The sequence below is a fragment of the Homo sapiens genome, chromosome 10 (genome assembly GCF_000001405.40).
Source record: "Homo sapiens chromosome 10, GRCh38.p14 Primary Assembly".
Taxonomy (NCBI): domain Eukaryota; kingdom Metazoa; phylum Chordata; class Mammalia; order Primates; family Hominidae; genus Homo; species Homo sapiens.
This window is the reverse complement of record NC_000010.11, coordinates 1,057,244-1,070,624: the sequence shown is the minus strand read 5'-3', so window position 1 is coordinate 1,070,624 and position 13,381 is coordinate 1,057,244. Positions and strand designations below refer to the sequence as shown.

The window sequence follows — 13,381 nt, the reverse complement described above, 5'->3', positions numbered from 1 at the left end:
GATGAAAATATTTTTCTAAGAGAAAATATTGTCACTTATAAAAATTCACTTCATTTATTTTTAATATTATAAATAAAACAGTAGAAATCAACATATTTAACCTTAGAATTCAAGGAAGTCGTAGCATTTTTCTAAATATCTCTTCTAAATGTCTTTCTAAATATGAATGTGAGTATATACAGTTTAGCTTTGTTTCCTGTTTCTTACATACTATGCAGAACTCTCATATATAAATTTTGTTATTAAAACTTTTTTAAAAGCCAAGCATAACCCAAAAATGTTAGAAAACTGGAAGACAGTTTGCCTATTATTTAGGACAGTTTTTAAAAGCTTTAACTTAATCACAAGCTTCTAGTAACTCTCAACCAAAACAGTCATGTGAGTTATGAAGTTCCCAATTTTTTTTTTTTTTTTTTTGAGACAGAGTCTTGCTCTGTCTCCTAGGCTGGAGTGGAGTTGCACGATCTCAGCTCACTGCAACCTCCATCCCCCAGGTTCAAGCAAGAATCTCGTGCCTCAGCCTCCAGAGTAACTGGGACTATAGGCATGCACCACCATGCCCAGCTAATTTTTGTATTTTTATTAGAGACAGGGTTTCGCCACGTTGACCAGGTTGGTCTCGAACTCCTGACCTCAGGTGATCCACCCACCTCAGCCTCCCAAAGTGCTAGGATTACAGATGTGAGCTATTGTGCCTGGCCTCAACTTTGTATTTTGAAATAACTGCAGATTCACAGGAAGTTGCAAAGATGGTCCATATTTCCCCAGTGGTTACATCTTACATCATTACAGTACAATCTGTTAATTTGTTAGTTAATTTCACTAAACCAACAAACTGACATTAGTATAATGTGTGTATAGTTGTCATTCTGTTACATATATAAATTCCTTTAGGTGCCACATGTTCAAGATACAAAACACTCCACTCACCATACAGATCACCCACACTACCCATTAGTTACCCCAACTCCCTGGCACCATCCCTCAACTCCTGATAACCATTAATCTGTAACCATCTCTACAATTTTGTCATTTTGAGACTGTTATGTAAATATGATCAAAGAGCAGTTACCCTTTTTGAGATTCTTTTTTCCACTCAATTTAATGGTTACGATCCAACCAATTTTCTGCATGTATCAACAGTTTTTTCCTTTTTATTACTAGCTAGTGTCCACAGTATGGACATTTAACCATTTGTTTAACCATTCACCTGCTGCAAAAAAAAAAAAAAAAAATATATATATATATATATATTCTTTCCAATTTTTTTACTATTACTAATAAAGTTGCCATGAACAATAATATACAGGGTTTTATGTGAACCTAAGTTCTCATTTCTTTTGGATAAACAGCCCAAGAATAAGGCTGCTCAGTCACAGGGTAAATGTATATTTAGCTTTAAAAAAAATCTTGATATACGATTCACACACCATGTAAGACACCTATTTAAAGTGCACAATTCAATGGCTCTCAGTATACTCAGGAAGTTGTGCGATCATTACCACAATCAACTGTACATTTTTATCACCCCAAAACGAAGCCCCACACCTATTTGCCCTCACTCCTCATTTCTCCCACCCACTTCCCAGCTAGCCCTAGGCAACCACTAATTTACTTTCTCTCCATATGAATCTGCCTGTTCTGGCCATTTCATAAAAATGGAATCATACAACATACGCTCTGGTCTGTGACAACCAGCTTCTTTCACTTAGCACAACGATTTCAAAGTCCATCTATGTTGTAGCATAGTGGTAATGTATTCCCTTTTATTGCCAAATACAACTGACAGACATTTGGTTGTTTCCATATTTTAGGTTATTATGAAGGTTAAAGTGCAAATTTCTTGTATGTGTATACTTTTATTTCTCTTGGGTATACCTGGAAACAGAATTGCTTATGTTTAATCATGTTTAGTTTTTGTGGTTTTTTTCTAAGAGTGTCAAACTATCAGTATTTTCCAGGGTGGCTGTTTCATTCTACATTATCATCAGGAACACATGAGAGATTCAGTTATCCACATCCTCACCAGCATTTGGTATTGTCATTACTCTTTTATGAAAATTTGTCATACATGAGAAATTTTGTGCCAGGTATACAACACAGTCATCAAGACAGGCTATTTAGGGTGTCCACCACCCCAGTAAAACACTGTTTGTTTTTTTGTTTTTTTGAGACAGAGTCTCGCTGTCGCCCAGGCTGGAGTGCAGTGGCTCAATCTCGGCTCACTGCAACCTCCGCCTCCCGGGTTCACGCCATTCTCCTGCCTCAGGCGCCCGCCACCACGCCCGGCTAATTTTTTGTATTTTTAGTAGAGACGGGGTTTCACAGTGTTAACCAGGATGGTCTCCATCTCCTGACCTCATGATCCACCCGCCTCAGCCTCCCAAAGTGCTGGGATTACAGGCGTCAGCCACCGCGCCCGGCCTAAGATACTGCTTTCTTAAGGATAGTCACCCTACTCTGCTGTCAAACACTGAATGTATTCCTTCTATCATACTGCATGTTTGTACCTTTTAACTCTCTTCTCATCCTCCCTCCGCCCCCGACTCACACCCTTCCCGGTCTCTATTATCTATCTATTTTTCCACTGTTTACCTCCATGTGTTCACATTTTTTAGCTCCCACATGTGAGAACATGAGACATGACTTTTTGTGCCTGGCTTATTTCACTTAAAATAATGGCCTCTGGTTCCATCCATGTTGCTGCGAATGGCATAATTTCATTCTTCTTATGGCTGAATGGTATTGCAGAGTGTGTGTGTGTGTGCGCACCACATTTTATTTATCTAGTCATCCGTCAACAGGCACTTAGGTTGATTCCATACCTTTGCTATTGTGAACAGTGCTGTGTATACCTGCAAGTGCAGGCATCCCTTTGTCACTACTTTTTTATTTAGCTGTTCCGTTAGGTGTGTAATATCTCACTGTGATCTTAATTTGCATTTCCCTGATGGCTAGTGACACTATCTTTTCATGTGCTTGTCATCCACATATCCTCTTCAGTGAGGTGTCTCTTCACACCCATTTTCTAACAGTATTATTCGGGTTTTTTACTGTTGAGATTTAAGAGTTCTTTACATACTCTATAGTATGAATTATATGTCACATAGGTTAAGCTGCAAATCATTTCTCCCAATCTGTTGCTCTTCATTCTAAGAGTTTTTCATGAAGCAACACTTCTTTAATGTTGATAATTTTTTCTATGCATCACACTTTTAAAGTCATGACAAGAACTTTTCATGAATCCCTAGGGGCCAAACATTTTCTCCTGTTTCTCCTGAATTTTTTATAGTTTTCTGTTTCACATCTAAATTTATTACCTATATGGTACTGACCTTTTTATAAGGTGTAAAATTTAAGTCAAGGTTTTTTTGTTGTTTGTTTTCACCTGTGTATCCAATTATCCCAGCCTCATTTGTTGAAGATGATCCATCCTAGATTGAACTGCTTTGGACTTTTGTCAAAAAATCAACTCACTGTACTTGTGTGGGGTTATTTCTTGGTTCTCTATTCTGTTCCACCGATCTACATATTTATCCTTCCACCAACGGCAGTGATATGGTTTGGCTATGTCCCCAGCTAAATCTCATCTTGAATTCCAATGTGTTGTGGGAGGGACCCAGTGGGAGGTAACTGAATCATGGAGGGGCAGGTCTTTCCCGTGCTGTTCTCGTGATAGTAAGTCTCACAAGATCTGATGGTTCTATAAGGGGGAGTTTTCCTGCACAAGCTCTCCCTCTCTGCCTGCCGCCATCCACGCAGAATGTGACTCGCTCCTCTTTGCCTTCTGCCATGATTGTGAGGCCTCCCCAGCCATGTGGAACTGTAAGTCCAATAAACCTCTTTCCTTTGTAAATTGCCCAATCTCAGGTATGTCTTTATCAGCAGCGTGAAAATGGACTAATACAAGCAGTTTCTATTATTGTTCTGTATGTCTTAAAATCAGTTACAGTGATTCCTATTAAATCTTTCTCCATTTTGTTTTATCTATTCTAGTCCTTTGTCCTTCCTTTTACATTTTTGAATAATCTTTTACATATCTACAAAAATCTTGCTGGGATCTTGATAGGAATTGTGTTAAATCTGTACATCAATCTGGGGAGAAATGGTATATTTATTATGCTGAGTCTTTTAATCTATGAATACAGTATTTATTTAGATCTTACTTTCCTCCATGTCAAGGTTTTTTCTGCATTAGTCCTAGTATCGGGCTGGGCGAGGTGGCTCACGCCTATAATCCCAGCACTTTGGGAGGTCAAGGTGGACGGATCACAAGGTCAGGACTTCGAGACCATCCTAGCTAACACGGTGAAACCCCGTCTCTACTAAAAAATACAAAAAATTAGCAGGGCGTGGTGGCAGGCACCTGTAGTCCCAGATACTCAGGAGGCTGAGGCAGGAGAATGGCATCAACCCGGGAGGCGGAGGTTGCAGTGAGCCAAGATCGCGCCACTGCACTCCAACCTGGGTGACAGAGCAAGACTCCGTTTCTAAAAAAAAAAAGTCCTACATATCTTTTCTCCATTTTAGACTAACATCTCTCTTTTTATTTTTTGTGTAAGTTTAAATGATACTGTACTTTTATTTTGGTTTCCACGTTAATTGCTAGTATAAATACAACTGGATTTTATGTATTAAACGTGTACATTCTTGCTGAACCTAAAGTTCAAGATTTTTTGTGGATTCCTTGGGATTTTCTATGTCAACTATTAAGTCATCTAAAAAAAAAAAGGACAGTTTTATTTCTTCCTTTGTGGTTTGTAAGCCTTCTATTTCCTTTTACTACCTTATTGATTTGGCTAGAAATTCCAGTACTATCTTAAATTACTATAGTGACAGCAAACACCCTTGCTTTGCCCTGAATATTCGGGTGAAAATATTGTGTTTCACCATTAACTTTGATGCCAGCTATAGATTTTTTTGTAGGTGCTGTTTATCAAGTTGAAAACGTTTCCCTCTATCATTCATTTTCTGAGTTTCTTTCACGAATGAGTGCTGAATTCTATCATGTTTTTTTCCTAGTAGCTTTTTTTTTTTACCTACTGACAGGACCAATTACACTCATGACTTTCAAACATTGATCCAACCTTGTAGCCACAAAATAAACTGCACTTGTTCATGGTGTATCATTCATTCTCTCTCCCTCTATTCTCTTTTTTGCCTTCTCGTGGGGTAAACATTTTTTATAATTTCATATTTATTTACCTACAGTATTTCTGAGTTTGCCTGTTTTGTATAACTTTTTAGTGGTAGCTCTAGGTTTTACATTATACATTTACAGCTTATTGTAGTCTACTGATTATCAACATTTTACCAGTTCACATAAAGTATACAAATCTTACTTTCCTCTATGCTTCTTTACCTTTCCCCATTTATAACGTAATCACAAATATTTCCTACACATACACTGAGAACCACACCACGGTTATGCTTCAAATTCCAAACACAATTTAGAAAATAAACGAATACTAAATTGACCGATATTTTTGCTGTCCATTCTTTGTTCTTCCCTCCTGATGTTCCCACATTTCTTTTGTCATTTCCTTTCTGTTTGGAGAATTTCCTTTATTTGTTATTTTCATAGAGTAGGTCAGCTGGAGATAAATCATGTGAAGGAAGTTTTCACTTGATATAAAATTCTGAGTTGATAGTCCTTTTCCTTCAGCACCTGAAAAAAATGTCCTGCCACTTCCTTATGCCCTCCACAATTTCTGATAAGATCCACTGTCAGGCCAGGCACAGTGGCTCATGACTGTAATTCCAGCAAGCGTGAGGGAGGCCGAGGCGGGCAGATCACCTGAGGTCAGGAGTTCAAGACCAGCCTGGCTAACATGGTGAAACCCCGTCTCTACTAAAAATACAAAACTAGCCAGGCGTGATGTGGCATGCCTGTAATCCCAGCTACTTGGGAGGCTAGGGCAGAACTGCTTGAACCTGGGAGGCAGAGGTTGTAGTGAGCTGAGATCACACCACTGCACTCCAGCCTGGGTGACAGAGCAAGATTCCATCTCAAAAAAAAAAAAAAAAAAAAAAAAAAAAAAGATCCATTGTCACTCAAATTGTTTCCCACTACAGGTCAAGTGGTATCTCTCTTACTATGCTTCTGTCTTCAGTTTTCAGAAGTTGGCCTGGATGTGTCTTAGCATCTTTGTGTTTATCTTCTCTGGGTTTATGCTGCTTCTTACGTCTGAAGGTGTATGGCTTGCCAAGTTTAGGAAACATACAGCAGTGATTTCTTCAGACACGTTTTCCCCCCACCCCGTCCTTCTCTCTTTCTAGACCTCTGATGACAGATGTTGCATCTTCTGTTAAAGTCCCACGGGCCCCTGAGGCTCTGCTCACTTTTTTCCAGTCTATTTTCTCTCTGCTGTTCAGATTGGGTAACTTCTATTGTTCTATCTTCAAATTGACAGCTTCTTTTGTCTGTCCTCTCCTTTCTGCTGCTAAGCCATCCACTGAATTTATTTCACATATTCTATTTTTCACTTTTGAAATTTTGTGTTTCTTTTTTACATCCTGTATTTTCTTCCTGAGGCTATTTGTCGTTTGTCTCGAATGTTAATTGGTTATTGAAGCATTTCTACAATCGCTGCTTTAAGGTCCTTGTCAAATAATTCTAAACTCTGTGTCATCTCTACGTTGGCATCAGTGGTCTTTTCTTACTGAGGTTGAGATTTTCCTATGAGTGATTTTCCATTGAAATCCTGACATCAGACTCAGGATCTGATGTAAGTCTTCTGTTAGAGCAGGCCTCTGCCAGGTGGATGTGGACGGTGAGGTGGAAGTTGAGATTCCCACTCAGCCTCCACGGACCCCTGCATGAGAAGGAAAGTTCAGCCTCCTGCCGAACTTCCACTCCCACCACCAAGGCTGAATCAGGGCTGCCTCCGTGCTGCTCCCTATACAGTCTCCCCCACACCACAGGGGGGTGGCCTCATGACCACAGGGCAGCAGTAAAGTTCCTGAGTTTTGCAAGGTCCCTCTTATGATACCCTAGCAGAAAGGAGGCTGTGCTCTGTCACCACCCAGCAGAAGTAAAACCCCAACTCCTCAGCCAGTCTTCTCTGACAGCAACCCTGCAGAGAGGAGCATCTCATCCCAGCTTGTCATGAGTGGGAATCTGAAGTACCTGCTCAGCCTCTGATTAGCAGGGTGAGGGTGGTGCTGCAGGGTTTCCTGTGATATTTAGCTGGAGGAAAGTACTTACCGCCGAAAAGTTCTCTGATTAGCAGGGTGAGGGTGGTGCTGCAGGGTTTCCTGTGATATTTAGCTGGAGGAAAGTACTTACCATCGAAAAGTTCTGTGATTTGTAGGCTGCCCCTTTCCTGGTCTTTCAGACACAGAGAGCAGGCTTTTCTTGGGCCTTGTTTTGTCTGAGTCCTTTTATACCTGCGCTGCTAGCTTATCCAGCACAACATATGAGATACATGAGGCAAAAAGAAAACTCACAGAACTAAGTTTGGTGTCATTTCTGTGGTCCCAATGTACGAAGGAAGTCTACCTTCTTTTCTCCATCTTTCAGTCTCTTTTTTTTTTTTTTTAACAGAGTGTCGCTCTGTTCCCCAGGCTGGAGTGCAATGGCACAATCTTGGCTCACTGCAACCTCCACCTCCTGGGTTCAAGCAATTCTCCTACCTCAGCCTCCCAAGTAGCTGGGACTACAGGTGCCCAACAGCACATCTGGCTAATTATTGTATTTTTAGCGGAGACAAGGTTTCACCATATTGACCAGAGTGGTCTCTAACTTGTGACCTTGTGATCTGCCCGCCTCAGCCTCCCAAAGTGCTTGGATTACAGGCGTGAGCCACTGCACCCGGCCCACTCTTACATTTGTTTTATATATGTCCAGTGTTTTTAGATGTACTTCATGGGAGGAATAAGGAAAAATAAGTCTCCATCTTTCCGCAAGCAGAAAGCCAAGAATCATCTTTTATTCTCAAATTGCATATGTGTAGGCCTATTTTTAAAGGAGAAGTAAGTCTTGCTTTACAACATAAAACAGTTACTTTGTAGTTTATGGAGTATGTTTTGTAAAGGAAAAAAAGAAACCACATCAAAAGCCTGTGAAAGCTGTCCTGATATGGCCTCAGAGAAAAAGGGAGACTCTATCTTCAGTTAAATGAAGCAAATAAAACCAGCAAAGGGTTTCCCTTCCCTCTCTTAAGAACTTCATCTGTAGAAACATTCTGATGCATTCCAGACATTCTACAAGTTCGTTACCAAAAATGCAGAGATTACAATATCACCTTTCCTTTCTCATCAAAATTATAAGTTTTGGATCACTGATTTTATCTCACTGGCTATTCCAGCCTCTCCGTAAGTTGCATGGTGTTCTCTTTGGTTTAGCTTGCTTTCTTCGCCACTTCACAAAATAGTCAATACCGCCGGCAATCTTTTTCTGCTGATCAACTACAACCAAATGTATGCATTTCCTACAATCACCTCCCTGGAACTTGGCACCAAATACAGATTTTTTCATACTGGAGTAATCTTATCATCTCTGTATTCACACCCTCCACATTTTTTCCCAGTGTCTGTATTGGTCCTATCACCACTTCCTTCCTTTCACACCACATCCTCCATGGAAACTCAGTCCTTGGCCCCCCCAAAAAAAAAAAAGCTCAAGACCAGAAGTGTTTCAGAATTCAGATGCTTTCAGATTTTGGAATATCCGCATATACATAGTAAGATATCCTAGGGATGGGACCCAAGGCTAAACTCAAAGTTCATTTATGTTTCATGTATACCTCATGCACGTAGCCTGAAGGTAATTTTTTTTTTTTTTTGAGATGACGTCTCCACTGTTGCCCAGGCTGGAGTGCAGTGGTGTTAACCTCGGTTCACTGCAACCTCCATCTCCCAGGTTCCAGCAATTCTCCTGCCTCAGCCTCCCAAGTAGCTGGAATTACAGGCACCCAACACCATGCCCAGCTAATTTTTGTATTTTTAAGAGAGACGGGGTTTCACCATGTTGGCAAGGTGGTTTCGAACTCCTGGCCTCAAGTGGTCTGCCCAGCTCGGCCTCCCAAAATGCTGGGATTACTGGCCTGAGCCACCACAGCAGGCCTCCTGAAGGTAATTTTATTTTGCCCTAGGGGATCCTGAATAAACTATGTTGCGCACCCACATTTTGACTACAACCTGTCTGTCACAAGGTAAGGTGTGGAAATTTCCACTTGTGTCATGTTATGGATTTTGAATTTTTGGATTAGGATGCTCAACCGGCGTAGCATAAATCTTATTTAAATGTTTAATCACCAGTTTAGGGGGTTTTCAGGTTGGTATCATGGGAAGAGGGACAAGGAAGTGGCAGGTGTTTGTAAAACTACTGAAATGGTATACCATGGAATCTAAAATAGACAGGAAGGGAAGTGAAAACAGAAAGAATTAATGGAGAGATACTGGAAGAAAGTTGGTGGACTGGCAGATCTACCAGAGGCTGAAGAGCTACTACAAAGAATTGCTGTAAGGCTCAAATGGATCAATAAATACAAAGAGTCACTAATCCTCATAACATCCCTATGAGACAGAGTTCCCAAATCCAATTAAGAGCCTTTCAACACAGTCATACATCACTTAAGGATGGGGACAGGTTCTGAGAGATGCATCGTTACGTGATTTCGTCACTGTGGGAACATCGCAGAGTACACTTACACAAAGCTAGGTGCACAGCCTACTCCACACCTAGGCTAGATGGCCCAGCCTGCTGCTCCTAGCCTACAACCCTGCACAGCATGTTACTGTACTGAATACTGCAGACAACTGTAACACAATGGTATCTATTTGTGTACCTAAACATATCTACACATAGAAAAGGTACAGTAAAAATAGAGTATTACAATCTTATGGGACCACCATCTTACATGAGGTCTGTTGTTGACCAAAACATCATTTGTTATGTGGCACCCGATTGTATTTAACAGACTAAACACTAATAAACTGATTATAGAACTGTAAAGAGAAAAAACAAACTTCTTCACTCCAAATATAACCTTCTTTAACCTCTATGCACTGTTTTACCTAAATACAAGCAAAGAGAAACCTGAGATTCCAAAACGTAATTATTTTCCTTCAAAATATTCACATTTACCCAATATTATTGGACAGATTACCATATTACAAAGAAGGCTTATGGAGATTAAATGTCCTTCTGGTTTTCAATAAAACATTATTTTCAAGAAACTATAAATAGTCCCCTCTAAAAATTCAATCTCTTTATCCTACCATGGATTTAACAGAATAAACGCTCCTTCTGAACTCCTGACTCATTTAGTCTGTCCAGTTCACCTGCCCTTAGTATATGTTGCCGTGTACGTAATACACCCCACTGCTTGTAAGCAGTCAGAACAACAGGCACACAGCTGTGATGCAGCACAGTGCTCTACACACAGCAGGCACTGGCCAAACATTCGACTAATTAATGAAACCCATAAACACACTGTGTTAGCAAGCTGAATTCCTCATCTTTAGAAATGCTGTAATATTGGGCCAGGCATGATGGCTCATGCCCGTAATCCCAGCCTTTTGGGAGGCCCAGGCAGGCGGATCACCTGAGGTCAGGAGTTTAAGACCAGCCTGGCCAACATGGTGAAGTCCCGTCTCTACTAAAATACAAAAATCAGCTGGGCGTGATGGTACACGCCTCCCATCTACCCTGGAGGCTGAGGCACGAGAATTGCTCCACCCTGGGAGGTGGAGGCAGTGGTGAGCTGAGATCATGCCGCTGCACTCCAGCCTGCGTGACAGAAATGCTGTAATATTAAACAGCATCAATGAACACTTAGCTTTCTGCTCTTTCTCAAAAGATTCTTTTATATATATATTTTTTGAGACAGAGTCTCGCTCTGTCGCCCAGGTTGGAGTGCAGTGGCGCGATCTCGACCCACTGCAACCTCCACCTCCCGGGTTCAACCAATTCTCTGCCTCAGCCTCCTGAGTAGTTGGGGTTACAAGCACCCACCACCACGCCTGGCTAATTTTTTGTATTTTCAGTAGATACGGGGTTTCACCATCCTGGCCAGGCTGGTCTTGAACTCCTGACCTCATGATTCACCTGACCCAGCCTCCCAAAGTGCTGGGATTACAGGCATGAGCCACTGCGCCTGGCCAGATTCTTTTCAATATTTCCAATATTAATTAATTTGTAGCTATAGAAATTATCATTCTCCTAAGTGTGTATAATTTGAGGAAGGCAGATAACATAACCAAAGTAGCTTGAAACAGCAATACGACAAATTCTTTTCTTTTTGACACAGAATCTCGCTCTGTCTCCCCAGGCTGGAGGGCAGTGGCGTGATCTCGGCTAACCGCAACTTCTGCCTCCTGAGTTCAAGTGATTCTCCTGCTTCAGCCTCCTGAGTAGCTGGGACTACAAGTGCCCGCCACCATGCCCAGCTGATTTTTGTATTTTTAGTAGAGACGGGACTTCACCATGTTGGCCAGGGTGGTCTTGGACTGCTGACCTCAGGTGATCTGCCCACCTCGGCTTCCCAAAGTGCTGGGATTACAGGCATGAGCCACCACGCCCTGCCAACAAATTCTTAATTTACACTTTCATTTGAAACAAAAAACACAAAACATTACTTTCAGTTTCATATCCAGTAGGATTTTAAACATTTTTCTTTCATCAAAGCAAAAACACTTGCTTAAGTGGTTAATTTCACAAATGTTAATCACATGCAAAAGAATGGTTAAGGAATATAATGTCCATGTGGCATTAAAAATAAATTGGAGAAATAAATTGAAAATTGCATAAAATGTGATGGAATTTCCACCAGAAGTTTAATCAAGTTTGTAGTAACATTTTATCGTAATAACACTGTTAGACGAATTCCTAGTGGGCTGAGACACCAAATTCAACTTCTGAGCAATATCGAGGAAGAGAATGGTCTCTACAGGCAACCTCAGAAATCTGTCATCAGTATTAACCTGCTTAAAATGTTTTGTCATTGACGAAATGAAGGCATGGAATACATACACCATCAATTCTGTGGATGACAATCAATTAGGAAATACCATTAATCAGATAAATAGCCATCAAGATTTTCAAAAGATCTCAGTAGTTAAAAGAACAACTTTAAACCAAGGATGAAATTCAACAGATGTAAAATCTTTTCCCTGAAAAGAATAAGACAGGATAAATATGAAAACTCTATCTTAGTTTCACCTTGGGGAAAGGGACTTAGGGATTTTAGTTCAGGGCAAATGCCCAAAGTGAACAGCCTAACATAGCTACCCAAAAAGAGGAGGAGGGAAACACACTCACTCAAGATCTCCTGTATACAGCACTTTGCAAAAATGGCTGGCATATATTACATAACGTAACCTTCCCAGTAAGAAAATGAGGCTGATATGAACACCATGTTAGAGGACAGGGAGTCGGGACTTAGGAAGGCCTTGCCCAAGGTCACACTGCTGTTGAGACGTGGCCAGTGCACACGAGTCCCTACTCTGTCTCCTGTGAGCAGTATTAATAGAAAGGCAGCGTCTAAACCCAGGGGATAACAGATCACTCCATTTGTTCCACATTGGTGAGTTCATATTTACATACCGTGTTTAACTCCTGGGACATATCAAAAGCTATTTTGAAAGACTCGAATTTGATCAGGAAAGTAACCAGAACAGTGTGTGTGTCTGCTGGGGTTGGGGGAAGTTCAGAAGACGAAGAAAGTTCCTGGAGATATAACTATCTTGAGCTTTCTCATTCAGAGGTAAATAATTCCTGCAATACTTTTATGACCGTAACTCACAGGCCAACATACTGAATTTAAGAGAAAAACACTTGAACTTCAATAAATGAAACTTCCAAGCAATTAACACTTTTCTATAATGGTATCCGCTTCAAGGGACGAATGTTTTAGCGTTTAAGTTAAATGACAAAATCTCTAAAAACCTGGCAGACCTTAAGCTATTTTCACTCACAACCTGGAAAAATGTATTTATTCAACTTGGTTTAGTAAATGAGTACATTATTATTGTTGCTCTTGTGTTATTCCGGTGAACAGCTGTCTTAAAATGTTTCCCTCCAGCGGTGGCTGCTTTCAGGGGGAAGGGAAGGAAAAGGAAGTCTTCAAAAGGGGAACAATATCATGGCGCTGTGTTAATCACTTCAGCATCCGTCACTCCACACTCACCACCCTTCTTGAAGCCGACCATCCCCACTCTTTGGAGAGAAGAAAGGCCATTCTCCTCTCTGAAGGGCCTCCCAAGTGCTTCCCTGGAGACGCACTTCCCCGGGATGCCCAGGCCGAAGCAAAGGGGGCGGGGAGAGACCCCGGGCCGAACCCTTCTGCCCCCAACCCCTCCAGCGCCCCGACTCTTCCTGGACTCCGACATCTTCTGCACCGCCCCGGGCCCCCATCCCTCCCGCACCCTGGTCCCT

The 13,381-nt window shown here is 41.2% G+C and overlaps 1 protein-coding gene across 1 annotated transcript in view; it reads right to left on the bottom strand.

Annotated features, from left to right (window-relative positions):
• Nucleotides 1-13,381, bottom strand: part of WDR37 (WD repeat domain 37) — a 75,988-nt gene that overhangs the window by 61,748 nt on the left and 859 nt on the right. The window lies entirely within an intron of this gene.